The sequence below is a fragment of the Homo sapiens genome, assembly GCF_000001405.40.
Source record: "Homo sapiens chromosome 16 unlocalized genomic scaffold, GRCh38.p14 Primary Assembly HSCHR16_RANDOM_CTG1".
In the NCBI taxonomy this organism is placed as follows: domain Eukaryota; kingdom Metazoa; phylum Chordata; class Mammalia; order Primates; family Hominidae; genus Homo; species Homo sapiens.
Window position 1 is genome coordinate 1780291 of NT_187383.1, and position 14783 is coordinate 1795073.

General features: G+C 52.3%; 1 pseudogene; it reads right to left on the reverse strand.

The window, feature by feature from the left end:
• Positions 1-5263: 5263 nt before the first annotated feature.
• LOC102724066 (uncharacterized) lies at positions 5264-13233 on the reverse strand (annotated as a pseudogene).
• Between the last annotated feature and the right edge of the window lie 1550 nt (positions 13234-14783).

A 14783-nucleotide genomic window follows, 5' to 3' on the forward strand; every position in this document is an offset into this window, starting at 1 on the left:
CACAGTCCATGTGTTCCTATTTGAAGACGGCCAAGCTGCCTCCTCAAATTACTGTTAACCCTCCTGTCCATTGAATAGATGGCCCTAATAGGTGGGCTTTGAAAGTGGCTCTTGTTAAATTTATTTGGGACCGCTGAGAACACGCCAGTCCAGCTTCAGCAAATGAGCTCTGATAATATTAACCACCTGGTAAGCCCTGGCCCCCAGGGAACCCTGCGTGGCTGCATCTGACCTCTGGCCCCTTGGCCTTCTGATCCCAGGGCTCAATTCAGACAAGAAGGCGATTCTGAGAAAAAACACCTGTTGGCGTCGCTGACCCCAGAGTCAGGGTTTGGAGGGAAGGGCCGCCGGGTCTTCAGCACAGGTGTTTCCTCCAGCAGGTCCAGGGAGTTTGGGAAGCCACTGGGATGAGGAGGGAGCCGGGCAGCACCGTGTCAGGCAGAGGACGGCACCTTCCACGTCCCAGAACTCTGGGGCACTCCATGGCGGGACAAGATGTGGAAAGGAGGGATTATTCCAGGCTCTACAGAATATCTCATGGACACAGCTTCATGGCTGTGCTTCTGCTAGGCAAAAAAGTGAGAGAAAACACAAGAATAAAACATAACAACCTGCAGGTGGACACAAGGTTAAGACCAACCTTCCTTCCAAAAATGCCTTAGATTAAGACCAACCTTCCTGCCAAACATGGCTTAGATTAAGACCAAACTTCCTTCCAAAAATGACTTAGATTAAGACCGACCTTCCTTCCAAAAATGCCTTAGATTAAGACCAACCTTCCTTCCAAAAATGCCTTAGGTTAAGACCAACCTTCCTTCCAAAAATACCTTAGATTCAAACCAACTTTCCTTCCTAAAATGTCTTCGATTAAGACCAACCTTCCTTCCAAAGATGCCTTAGATTAAGACCAACCTTCCTTCCAAAAATGCCTGAGCAATGACCCTCAGCTACTCAAGGACAGTGAACGATGAAAAGGTGTATGCCAGATTGCAGGGAGAAACCCCAGAAAGTCGATGATGTGCATATTAATTGCAGAGTGCAGGTAGGTTCCCAAAACAGGGGACACTGGAAATCTATATCTATTGTAGAGTGTAGGTGGGTGCCAAGATGGTGGTCACTGGGTTTCTCTATTGTACAGTGTAGGTGGATCCCCTGATGGAGGACGCTGAGTGTGTCTATTGTAGATTGTGGATCTACAATAGAGTGTGGGTGGATCCCCAGATGGGTGTGTCTATTGGAGAGTGTAGGTGGATCCCCAGATGGGTGTGTCTATTGGAGAGTGTAGGTGGATCCCCAGATGGGTGTGTCTATTGGAGACTGTAGGTGGATATCCAGATGGGTGTGTCTATTGGAGAGAGTAGGTGGATACCCAGATGGGTGTGTCTATTGTAGAGTGTAGGTGAATCCCCAGATGGAGGACACTGAGTGTGTCTATTGTAGAGTGTAGGTGTATCCCCCAGATGGAGGACGCTGAGTGTTTCTATTGTAGAGTGTAGGTGGATCTCCAGATGGGTGTGACTATTGTAGAGTGTAGGTGGATCCCCAGATGGAGGATGGTGAGTGTGTCTATTGTAGAGTGTAGGTGTATCCCCCAGATGGAGAATGGTGAGTGTGTCTCTTGTAGAGTGTAGGTGGATCCCCCAGATGGAGGATGCTGAGTGTTTCTATTGTAGAGTGTAGGTAGATCCCCAGATGGAGGACGCTGAGTATTTCCATTGCAGAGTGTAGGTGGATCCCCAGATGGAGGACGCTGAGTGTTTCTATTGTAGAGTGTAGGTGGATCACCAGATGGGTGTGTCTATTGTAGAGTGTAGGTGGATCCCCAGATGGAAGATGGTGAGTGTGTCTATTGTAGAGTGTAGGTGTATCCCCCAGATGGAGGGCACTGAGTGTTTCTATGGTAGAGTGTAGGTGGATCCCCAGATGGAGGACACTGAGTGTGTCTATTGTAGAGTGTAGGTGGATCCCCAGATGGAGTATGGTGAGTGTGTCTATTGTAGAGTGTAGGTGTATCCCCCAGATGGAGGACACTAGGTGTGTCTATTGTAGAGTGTGGGTGGATCCCCAGATGGAGGATATTGAGTGTGTCTATTGCAGAGTGTAGGTGGATCCCAGATGGAGCGCATTTGAGTTTGTTTATTGTAGAATGTAGGTGGATCCCTAGATGGAGGACATTGAGGGTATCTAGTGTAGAGTGTAGGTGGATAAGCAGATGGAGGACATTGAGTGTGTCTATTGTAAAATGTAGGTGGATCCGCAGATGGAGGACAGTGGGTGTATCTATTGTAAAGCGTAGGTGTATCCCCAGATGGAGGACATTTAGTGTGTCTATTGCAGAGTGTAGGTGGATCCCGAGATGGAGCACATTGAGTTGGTTTATTGTAGAGTGTAGATGGATCCGCCAGAGCACATTGAGTTGGTTTATTGTAGAGAGTAGGTGGATCCCCAGATGGAGGACATTGAGTGTATATATTGTAGAGTGTAGGTGGATCCCCACATGGAGGACATTGAGTGTATCTATTGTGGAGTGTAGGAGGATCCCCAGATGGAGGACATTGAGTGTGCCTAGTGTAGAGTGTAGATGGATCCCCCCAATGGAGGACATTGAATGTATCTATTGCAGAGTGTAAGTGCATCCCCAGCTGGAGGACATTCAGTGTATCTACTGTAGAGTGTTGGTGTATCCCAAATGGAAGCCACTGGGTGTGTCTAGTGTAAAGTGTAGGTGGATCCCCAGATGCAGGAGACTCATTATTTCTATTTTACAGTGTAGGTTAGATGTCTCTTGTTGTGCTCACTGGATATTTCTTTGTAGAGTGTAGCTTGCTTCTCCAGGCAGTGAACATGGGCATTTTCTCAGGTAAAGGTTATGTTACAATGTCAGTGTGTATTGGGCTGTGGGACACTGGCTGATTCCATGACAGCCGTCTGTTTGGCCTTGATTGTGCTTAGGTGGCTGAATTTTGCCCTTTCTGAAGGTGTCTTCCATATCTGTCACAGGTGTCTCTTCTGAGCCTCGTCTGTGCTAGTTTGGCATCACCTGGAACAGCCCCTCTGTTTCCAGAGCAGCCTCCTAGGCTTTCCAGTGTGGCCATTGCAACTGACATGGAGCTCCAAATCCCATTCCTCATTTTTGTCGACAGGCTGCATTGTGAAAGACACAGGTTTAATCTCTCTTTTATTTATGGAGGGTCTATGGTGAAACAAGGTCAGAGGGTTGAAACCTAACCTGCTTAAATCCTTCCTGTAATTCCTTCCTTCCTTCCTTCCTTCCTTCCTTCCTTCCTTCCCTCCCTCCCTTCCTCCATCCCACCCTTCCTTCCTTCCCTCCCTCTTTCCTTCCCTTCCTTCTCTCCTTCCTTCCTTCTTTCCTTCCTTCCCTCCCTCTCTCATTCTTTCTTTCCCTCCCACCCTTCCTTCCTTCCCTCCCTCCTTCCCTCCTTCTCTTCCTCCCTCTTTCCCTTCCTTCCTTCCTTCCCTTCCTTCCTTCCTTTCCTTCCATCCTTCCCCCTTCCTTCCTCCCTCCCTCCTTCCCTCCTTCTCTTCCTCCCTCTTTCCCTTCCTTCCTTCCTTCCCTTCCTTCCTTCCCTTCCTTCCTTCCTTTCCTTCCATCCTTCCCCCCTTCCTTCCTCCCTCCCTCCCTTCCTTCCTTCCCCCACTTTTTTTACTTTGACGGAGTCTCACTGTGTGGCCCAGGCTGGAATGCAGTGGCACAACCTTGGCTCACTGCAACTTCTGCCTCCCAGGTTCCAGCAATTCTTCTGCCTCAGCCTCCCGAGTAGCTGGGACTACAGGCACCCGCCACCACGCCTGGCTAATTTTTGTATTTTCAGTACAGATGGTGTTTGGCCATGTTGGCCAGGCTGGTCTTGAACTCCTGACCTCAAGTGATCCGCCCGCCTCAGCCTCCCAAAGCGCTGGGATTACAGGCGTGAGCCACTGCACCTGGCTGAGAGACATTTTTAATCTCTTTTTTATTCATAGAGTATCTATGGTGAAACAGGGTGATGGGGTGGGAACCTAACCTGCTTAAAACCTTCCAGAAATTTCTATCTACACAGATCCCCAAGGTCACGCTCATACACTGGACAGGGCTGCTGCCTCCTTGTTCACTGGGGACTGGCATCACGCTGCCTCACCTGGTAGAGACCTTCCTATGACCCCGGGCACAAACCTTCCATTTCTGGCATCCTCCAAGACTCTGGCATGCTCAGATATTAAACAGCCAATTTTGGACCATTAAAATAAAAAAAAAAGAGTGGGGGGAGAGGAGAGGGGCGGGTGGCTGTGAATGTACTTAGGGAATTCAGCCTGGTCCTGTCAAAAATCATTTCTGATCTGGCCATCGAGAGCTTTCAGGGCCACATGGCTCCCCATCACTCTGGCTGAGGCGGAGCTTCTGTGTTTTGTTCCAGATGTGAAAGATCATCTTAGCAGGGCGAAGATCCTCATTAAGGCAACCAGATTCTTGAAGCAAAATAAAAAAGAAAAAACAAGAGAGAGAGAGAGAGAGATTATTGGCAAGGCCAACAACGCTAGCAATTACCTTCATCTTTCATCCAGCATTTTGGCAAGCACAGGAACTCACATCTGAAATCCATCGCCACAGCCTATCATCTTATCAAAAGCTGGTGCCATCAGGACGCACATTCATGCCGCTGTGTTTTTAAGGTTTAAACAATTTGCAATGTATTTCAGAGATGACTGAGATGCAAACGGAGGGAACACAGGTTTTGTGAGTCAGTCCCTCACTTTTCTCTTGCTGTACATTGAGAACAAGTGAAATCCATTGCTTTCACCCTGCTGGAAGCAAATCCAACTCATCACTTCACATAACACTGTGGGTATGATTCCTGCCACAGCTGATCAGCGGGTCCTGGGGTTGACGAGGCTCCATCAGCCCCAATTAGCAGTGAGGATGTCAACTTGTCTAGTATTTTTAAGGCTGGGAAGCTGCAGACAACCCTTACCAATTTCTCTGGGAAGCCAGGGGCTTGGATGCCCTCCCCTCTGCAACATCTGTACTTTATAGCGTAAGTTAATGTGAAGGCAAATGCTGGGCACTCAGGAAGCTGGGCAGGCAATTTTTTAAGATTATTCCCTGGGGAATCTAAAAGGACAACACCATCGCTGCTTTTCGGAGAAACTCCAGGCTTTTCTGCCGGCAAAATAACAATTAAATGGAAACAGGATAATGAATCATCCCATTTCAATGAGGTTGCCAGTGATGCCTGTTTTAGAGAAAGGCTCTCTGGCTGCCAGGCTACTGGGCTCTCTGTTTGTTCTGCAGGGTTAGAGCTGGGTACCTCCTTTTGGTAATTGTTCTTGCCAATGGAAGGCTAGCAAAGAGACCCTAAAAGGGTGGAAACGACCCTAAAAGGCCCACATCTCCATGCAGGGGAGTTGGAGAATATGATGGAGAACTGAGGGTGTTCAGACGTTCAAAGGCCATATACTTCCAAATCCCTGGACACCAGTGAGTTTTTGGGAGTGCAGCCAGGACCTGTGTTCCACTCTCTGTGACACACATTCTGGAAATGGATGGTTCTCACCAGGGGAGAAAGTATACTAAATGGCTGGGCCACCCCACCCCGTTTTTTTTTTATTTTTATTTTTTGTGAGATGGAGTCTCGTTCTGTTGCCCAGCTGGAGTACAGTGACACGATCTCAGCTCACTGCAACCTCTGCCTCCTGGGTTCAAGCGATTCTCCTGCCTCAGCCTCCTGAGTAGCTGGGATGATAGGCACCTGCCACCATGCCCTGCTAATTTTTTGTATCTTTGGTAGAGATGGGGTTTCATCATGTTGGCCACATTGGTCTGGAACTCCTGACCTCAGGTGATCTGCCTGCCTCAGCCTCCCAAAGTGCTGGGATTACAGGCGTGAGCCACTGTGCCTGGCCTTTTTTTTTTTTTTTTTGGAGATAGAATCTTGCCCTGTCAACCAGCCTGGAGTGCAGGGGCGTAATCTTGGCTCACTGAAACCTCCACCTCCTGGGTTCAAGCAATTCTCCTGCCTCAGCCTCCCAAGTAGCTGGGATTACAGGTGCATGCCACCATGCCTGGCTAATTATTTTTTTCTAATTTTAGTAGACAGGGGGTTTTCACCATGTTGGCCAGGCTAGTCTCAAACTCCTGATCTCAGGTGACCCTCCTGCTTCAGCCTCCCAAAGTGCTGGGATGACAGGCATGAGGCACCTCTCCCAGCTTCTCATCCCGGTTTCTGTAAGGACATTCTGGAAACCACACAGAACTCAGTGTCATCCTGCAATTTCTTACTTACCTGAGTGGACTGCTTTGGACACTTGCTGTTTTCACAGCGTGGACCTGGAAGGGACTCCTGAGTCTAACACAGACTCCAGCCACCCGGGTCCCTCGGAGTCACCAGCACTGGCACAGGTCTGAGTTGAGCATCATTGCCCGCATCCCAGGTGAGTATCTGCACTGGGTGACAGGTTCTAATAATGTGTGGCTGGGCTCCACTCATTCCCTCTGGGCTCATTACTGCAAACTATTATTCACCAGTTAGCAAATTGAAAGTAGAAAAGGCGGCCAGGTGTGGTGGATCATGCCTGTCACCCCAGCACTTTGGGAAGCTGAGGCGGACAGATCACAAGGTCGTGAGTTTGAGACCAGCCTGGCCAACATGGTGAAACCCCATCTCTACTAAAAATACAAAAATTAGCCAGGTATGGTGGCAGGTGCCTGTAATCCCAGCACTCTGGGAGGCCGAGGCGGGCGGATCACAAGGTCAGGAGATAGAGACCAGCTTGGCTAATACGGTGAAACCCCGTCTCTACTAAAAATACAAAAAATTAACTGGGCGTGGTGGCAGGCACCTGTAGTCCCAGCTATTCGGGAGGCTGAGGCAGGAGAATGGAATGGCGTGAACCTAGGAGGCGGAGGTTGCAGTGAGTCGAGATCGCACCACAGCACTCCAGCCTGGGCAACAGAGTGACAGAGCGAGACTCTGTCTCAAAAAAAAAAAAAAAAAAAGTATGCCAAGGAGTTTTACTTCACCCATGAAAGGAAGAAAATGGTCCAGGTAAGACGGCCATCGGGATGTAACAAAAAATTGTCAAAGATCACACCCTATAGAGGTGGCTGATTTGATACAACAGCCAGTGAACTTTTTGACGAAAAATATTGCAGATTGCAAGAGACACTTCTTGTTCACGGAAATAGAAATAAAGCATGGTGTCTGCGCCCGGCTTTCTGCTCTAAGCTGAAGTATTTCACGGCAGCAGGAATTCGGCAACCCACCGTTTACACTCCACCCTTTAAAACGGCTGAGTGGGGTGGGGACCTGCCTTTGGGGAGAAAAGCAAATTTTATTTAAGCCCCTGAAAGAGGAGTGGGTTGGCCAGGCGCGGTGGCTCACACCTGTAATCCCAGCACTTTGGGAGGCTGAGGTCGGTGGATCACTTGAGGTCAGGAGTTTGAGACCAGCCTGGCCAGCATGATGAAACCCCGTCTCTACTGAAAATACAAAATTAACCAAACGTGGTGGCACATGCCTGTAATCCCAGCTACTGGGGAGGCTGAGGCAGGAGAATAGCTTGAACCCGGGAGGCGGAGTTTGCAGTGAGCCAAGATCATGCCATTGCACTCCAGCCTGGGTGACAAGAGCAAAACTCTGTCTCAAAAAAAAAAATAAAAATAAAAATAAAGAGTTGATCTCCTAGGAATTAACACCACAGTGGTGATTACCAGAAGCTGGGGAAGGGAGGGAGAAAGAAGGGATGGAAAGAGGTTGGTCCACGTGTACAAAGTTACAATTAAATAGGACTAAATTACATAGTTTTATTTCTCTTCAGGGTGACAATATTTAACAAGAATATATTGAATATTACAAAATAGTCCAAAGAGAGATTTTCTTGGAGGGAAGTGTGGGAATGGGGTGAAGGATAAAAGACAACAAATTTGATACAATGTATAGTGTTCGGGTGTTGGGCACACCACGTTCTCACAAATCTCCATTGAATAACTTACTCATGTAACCAAATACCACCTGTACTCCAATAACTTATGGAAAAATAAAGTTTTTAAAAAAGATACATATTGCAGAGCATGGTGGCTCACGCCTGTAATCCCAGCACTTTGTGAGGCTGAGGGAGGTGGATCACTTGAGGTCAGCAGTTCAAGACCAGCCTGACCAGCATGATGGAACCCCGTCTCTATTGAAAATACAAAATTAACCAGGCGTGGTGGCACACGCCTGTAATCCCAGCTACTTGGAAGACTGAGGCAGGAGAATCGCTTGAACCTGGGAGGCGGAGGTTGCAATGAGCCAAGATCATGCCATTGCACTCCAGCCTGGGTGACAAGAGCGAAACTCTGTCTCAAAAAAAAAAAAAATGCATATTCCTCAGCCACTGGAAAATGAGATTTCTGAGCAGCTGGATCTGATAATTACCATGAGGTGTCATTACATGATATACACGTGCTTGGAAACATTATATGTCATAAATGTGTACAATCACTATGGAGTTTTTTTCTTGAGACAGGGTCTTGTTCTGTTGCCTAAGCTGGAGTGTGCAGTGATGCAATCATGGCTCAGTGCAGCCTCAACCTCCTGGACTCAAACCATCCTTCCACCTCAGCCTCCCCAGTAGCTGGAAATACAGGTCTACACCAGTCGGTCCAGCTAACTTTTGTACTTTTTTTTTTTAAGAGATGGGATCTTGCTATGTTGCCCAGGCTGGTCTTGAACTTCTGGCCTTGTGATTCTCCCACCTCAGCCTCCCAAAGCGCTGGGATTACAAGCGTGAGCCACTGTGCCTGATCTGAACGATGATTCTTAAAAATAAAATAAAACTTTAGAAGAGAAGAAAATCTAATCGTGGTTTTTGTCTTTTCATTGGCTCTGTGTTACTTTGTAGCTGCAATTTTTCTTTCCTTCATTAAGTCAGCTCCAAATTTGCAAACTCAAGTGAAGGGTAAGTGAGTATACTGTGTATCTTCTTGGCATGGGGTGGTGAGTGTGTGTACGTGTGTGTGTGTGTGTGTGTGTATTTGTATGTCCAGGGTTCCTCCACATCCCTGAAGAGACTTGGGGCTCCTTAATATCCATATAATTTCTATTTTGAGCAGAAAGAGGAAAAGTCAACGTTTTGGAAACTCCAAACTCCACCAGGGGCTTGGCTGAAACAGGTGTGTGTCGTTTCTCCAACCAGCCAGCTCGCCTGCGAATCTCAGAACTTATGTTAATGAGAGTTGCCTGCCCACAGCTCTTCTATGAATAATGTTTTTGTATGTAAAGGAGAAGCAAAAACATTTTTTTGACCTCTTGGAGCACGAAAATCAATAAGAAGTTGATAAAGCAAAGTCTGTGCCTGCTGAAAATAAAACAAGTGTGGTTTATTTACCCACCGAATCCTTCACGTTGTCAGACCTGCATCGAGATGATTTATAGACCAACACCCCACGAAATCATTTAAAGCAGATTAGATTCCTAGGACAATCCTCTCTAATATGACAAGCTGATAGAGGCTGACAGGTAACTAGTTTGTTCAGGATGGCAAGCCAGTCCCAGAAATTCTGATTAAATTAAAATATTAATGGTACCACCAGGAGAGGAAGATTGAGTTGAGGTGGGCGAATTCTGTGAGGACCGAGGTGCAAACACCAAGTCACAGTCGCTGTGCTGGAAGCAGAAGCCTGGGGGTGCCAGAGGAAGTTACCTTTGCTAAATCTGAAAGCAGGGCCTGCATTGCGGTGCTGGGGGCAGGGTGGGGACAACGCACCTGCCAGGCTCAGAAGGGAACACGGAGCTTCCCTAATCACCTCCTCTCTCCTACAGCTGCAAAGGTGATGGCCGGAGACCCTCGTCTCTGCAGCTCTTAATTCTCCAGTAGCCTCTCCCATGCCCTCTGCAAATGCCCGTTTGCAGGGCACTTTAACCCAATCTGAAATTGAGCCTCCAGCACCGTGACTGTGTACAGACTCTCTAGGAAACTGTCTTGTGCCGGCTGGATGAAAGCTTATTGCTGTGTGTGTGTAGTGTGTGAGTGTGTGGTTTTGTTTTTTCCCTGCAGAGAAAAATGCAAAGAATCTTGCCCCGGCCACAGGAAAAGGAGATTCCTGAGCAGTGTACCTTTCTTTCTTTCTCTTTCTTTCTTTCTTTCTTTCTTTCTTTCTTTCTTTCTTTCTTTCTTTCTTTCTTTCTTTCTTTCTCTTTCTTTCTTTCTTTCTCTTTCCTTCCTTGCTTCCTTCTTTCTTTCCTTCCTTCTTTCTTTTTCTTTCTTTCTTTCTTCTTTCTTTCTTTCTCTTTCCTTCCTTCCTTGCTTCCTTCTTTCTTTCCTTCCTTCTTTCTTTCTCTGTCTCTCCTTCCTTCCACCCTTCTTTATTCCTTTCTTTCTCTCTCTCCTTCCTTCTTTCTTTCTCTCTTTCTTTCTTCTTTCTTTCTCTCTCTCCTTCCTTCCTTCTTTCTTCCTTTCTCTCTCTCTCCTTCCTTCTTTCTTTCTCTCTCTCCTTCTTTAGTTCTTTCTCTCTCTTTCTTTCTGTCCTTCCTTCCTTTCTTCCTTCCTTCCTTCGCTTTCTTTCTTTCCTTCTCTCTCTCTTTCTTTCTCTTTCTTTCTTTCTCTCTCTCTCTCCCCTTCCTTCATTCCTTCCTCCCTCCCTTCCTTCCTTCCTTCCTTCCTTCCGTCCTTCCTTCCTTCCTTCCTTTTCTCTCTCTCTCTTTCCGGCTGGCTGGGTGGCTTGGCTGGCTTGGCTGGCTTGGCTGGCTGGCTTGGCTAGCTGGCTGCCTTGCCTGGCTTGGCTGGCTGGGTGGATTGGCTGGCTGGCTTGGCTGGCATGGCTGGCTGGGTGGCTTGGCTGGCTTGGCTGTCTGGCTTGGCTGTCTGGGTGGCTTGGCTGGCTTGACTGTGTGGCTTGGCTGGCTTGGCTGGCTGGGTGGCTTGGCTGGCTTGGCTGGCTGGCTGGCTGGCTTGGCTGGCTTGGCTGACTGGCTGACTTGGCTGGGTGGCTTGGCTGGCTGGGTGGCTTGGGTGACTTGGCTGGCTTGGCTGGCCGGGCGAGCTTGGCTGGCTTGGCTGGCTGGCTGGCTTTGGCTGGGTGGTTTGGCTGGCTTGGCGAGCTGGGTGGCTTGGCTGGCTTGGCCGGCTGGGTGTCTTGGCTGGCTTGGCTAGCTTGTCCGGCTGGGTGGCTTGGCTGCCTTGGCCGGCTGGATTTCTTGGCTGGCTTGACTGGCTGGCTGGCTTGGCTGGCATGGCTGGCTGGCTGGCTAGGCTGGCTTGGATCGCTGGCTGGCTTTGGCTGGGAGGCTTGGCTGCCTTGGCTGGCTGGGTGGCTTGGCTGGCTTGGCTGGCCTGGGTGGCTGGGTGGCTTGGCTTGCCTGGCTGTCTGGCTGGCTTGGCTGGCTGGCTGGCTTTGGCTGGGTGGCTTGGCTGGCTTGGCTGGCTGGCAGGCTTGGCTGGCTAGCTGGCTTGGCTGGCTTGGCTGGCTGTGTGGCTTGGCTGGCTTGGCTGGCTGGCTGGCTTGGCTGGCTGCCTGGCTGGCTTGGCTGTCTTTGCTGACTGGCTGGCTTGGCTGGCTGCCTGGCTGGCTTGGCTGTCTTGGCTGACTGGCTGGCTTGACTGCCTGACTGGCTTTGGCTGGGTGGCTTGGCTGGCTTGGCTGGCTGGGTGGCTTGGCTGGCTTGGATGGCTTGGCTGGCTTGGCTGGCTGTGCTGGCTTGGCTGGCTTGGCTGGCTGGCTGGCTGACTGGGTGACTTGGCTGGCTGGCAGGCTTGGCTGGCTTGGCTGGCTATATGGCTTGGCTGGCTTGGCTGGCTGGCTGGCTTCACTGGCTTGGGTGGCTTGGCTGGCTTGGCTCGCTGGCTGGCTAGGCTGGCTTGGATGGCTGGCTGGCTTTGGCTGGGAGGCTTGGCTGCCTTGGCTGGCTGGGTGGCTTGGCGGGCTTGGCTGGCCTTGCTGGCTGGGTGGCTTGGCTGGCCTGGCTGGCTGGCTGGCATGGCTGGCTGGCTGGCTTTGGCTGGGTGGCTTGGTTGGCTTGGCTGGCTTGGTTGGCTGGCAGGCTTGGCTGGCTGGCTGGCTTGGCTGGCTTGGTTGGCTGTGTGGCTTGGCTGGCTTGGTTGGCTGTGTGGCTTGGCTGGCTTGGCTGGCTGGCTGGCTTGGCTGGCTTGGTTGGCTGTGTGGCTTGGCTGGCTTGGCTGGCTGGCTGGCTTGGCTGGCTGCCTGGCTGGCTTGGCTGGCTTGGCTGGTTGGCTGGCTTGGCTGGATGGCTGGCTTTGGCTGGGTGGCTTGGCTGGCTTGGCTGGCTGGGTGGCTTGGCTGGCTTGGATGGCTGGCTTGGCTACCTGGCTGGCTGGCTTGGCTGGCTGTGTGGCTTGGCTGTCTTGGCTGGCTTGGCTGGCTGGCTGGCTTGTCTGGCTGGCTGGCTGGCTTGGGTGGCTTGGCTGGCTGGCTGGCTTGGCTGGGTGGCTTGGCTGGCTGGGCCTCTTGGCTGGCTTGGCTGGCTGGCTGGCTTGGCTGGCTTGGCTGGCTGGCTGGCTTTGACTGGGTGGCTTGGCTGGCTTGCCTGGCTGGGTTGGTTGGCTGGCTTGGATGGCTTGGCCGGCTGGGTGGCTTGGCTGGCTTGGCCGGCTGGGCCGGCCTGGCTGGCTTGGCTGGCTGGCTGGCTTGGTTGGCTTGGCTTGGCTTGGCATGTGCAGCAGCCGAGGCTGGGGATGTGACTTCTACAGAGGTTGGCACGACGGGGGGCATCCCTGCCCTCCCAGGGTCTGCCTGTGGGTCATGGGGAACATGGTTCGAGGCCCCTCCTGTAGCCACACAGCAGTGTGTTGCCGCGTGAGTGGTCTTGTCTGCAGGCTTTAGACTCAGCCGGGTCGTTTGTGCCACGTGGGGTCTGCGCCGCCCCAGGGGCCGCATCTCTTTCAGCCACAGGATGTGCATCTTAGGGTTGCAGCAGACGGGGCTCCTGTGCCATGTGGGGTCCAACCCCTTGGCCTGAGCAAGGCGGCCAGTGGGCATTGTGCTGGTGACGACCTCTGGCCTCTGCTCCTTCCCCGGCTCTGAGTCATAAAGGCCTCCCAGTCCCACCTGGGAGCCGTGTCTCCTCTAGGAACTGCTGGGCATGGCTGGGTCCTGTCTGCCTCATTCCTGCATCTGATGCCCACCAGTTCTTCCCCAACTCCCCCGTTCTCTATCTCCCCCTTCTCCTCCATCTCCTCCATCTCCCCCGTACCCTCCGTCTTGCCCATCTCCATTTCCTCCAACTCCCCCTTCTCCATGTCATGGCTGTCCAGGCTCCATCCCTCCGCAGGCTCGGTCCCCCCTTGTTCTGGGCAGGGCTCTGGGTGCTGGTCTGGTGCCAGTGCTGGGAGCCTGTGGTGCCCGTCACTCCTGCTCCACCTTGAGGAGCTGTGTCCTGTCCCACGAGGAGGTGCCCCGGGACCTCAGGGCTGCAAGCCATGGCTGGGTCCAGCTCTGCCTCATTCCTGTATCTGATGCCCCCCAGTTCTCCCCCATTTCCCCCTTCTCCATCTCCTCTGTGTCTCCCGTCTCATGGCTGTCCAAGCCCCATCCCCCACCCAGGCTGGGTCCCCTCGTTCTGGGAAGCCCGTCTTGCCATGCCCATCCCGGCCGCCACTCAGGACAGCACTCTGGATGCCAGTCTGGTGCCAGTGCTGGGAGCCTGTGGTGCCTGTCACCCCTGCTGCACCTTGAGGAGCTGTGTCCTGTCCTACAAGGATGTGCCCGGGGACCTCAGGGCCATGGCTGGCATCGTTGCCATGGAGTGGCTGTCACCTTTCATGGTCGTCCTGCAACAGAGCTCCTGCTGCTTCTGGGTGAACCTGGGGCTGCCCCCGTGAACACTCTTGGGTCTGACATGAAGGGACCCGTGAACACTCTTGGGTCTGACATGAAGGGACCATGCGAGGGAGGGGTGGGGTGGGCTGGGTCCCTGCGTGGGGATCGCCAAGGGGTGATGGCCACGAAATGCCGGGGACCCAAGGTTGTCATTCACAGAGGGTGAGGTGGGGATGCCAGAGGCGCCTCTGCCTGGAACACCCTGGCTTCTGTCCTAGCAGGACGCTGGACGCTGGCCACGGTGAGGGTGATGCAGGTGCTTTTCTTGTGGGGTCCCTGGCCCACCTCACACATGAGCTCTCAGGGAAATGGACCCCCAGAACACGTGGAGGGCACGACCGCTGGGCTCTGGGTCTCCCCACAGCGCTGCCGTCCACGAGGACCCCCCACTTCTCCAGCAAAGGTGTGGGTGTGCACGCCCGGCCCTGGCACAGCCCAGAGCATCTGGGGCCGTGGCTGGGGAAGGACGGGGTGCTTGGGGAATGCAGTGGGTATGGGGATGTCGGAGGACACTCAGGCTGTGCAGGAGCCTCACCAGGGATGTGGGTGGGGGACGCTGTCTTTCGTTTCACAGCCCCAGGGAGGCTTCTGATGTCTCAGCCTTGAACCCCAATTGGGGGGCTCCTAGTGTCAGTGTGGGAAGCTGAGGGTCCCAGTCAGAGGTGAACCCCTCACTTCTGGCCCCTCACTCCCATGACCATGGGCTCCAGCTCATAGGTGTGTGTGAGGGGTGTCCTGAGGTGGTGTGGGGCAGACATGCTCTCCCAGATGGGCTTCCCGGAGCTTGGGGCAGGGTGGGCCCTGCAGGCCGTGGCTCCCAGTGTCACTTCCCTGCAGCAGCCACAGTCAGACTCTCCGGCCCTGCACCTGTCCTGTTGTTGGGGACCCTGACCCTTCGCAGACCCAGGTGGGGGCATCCGGGAATTCAGGGGAGCACCTGGTGACAGAGGACACCTTGGGGGCAGCAGCC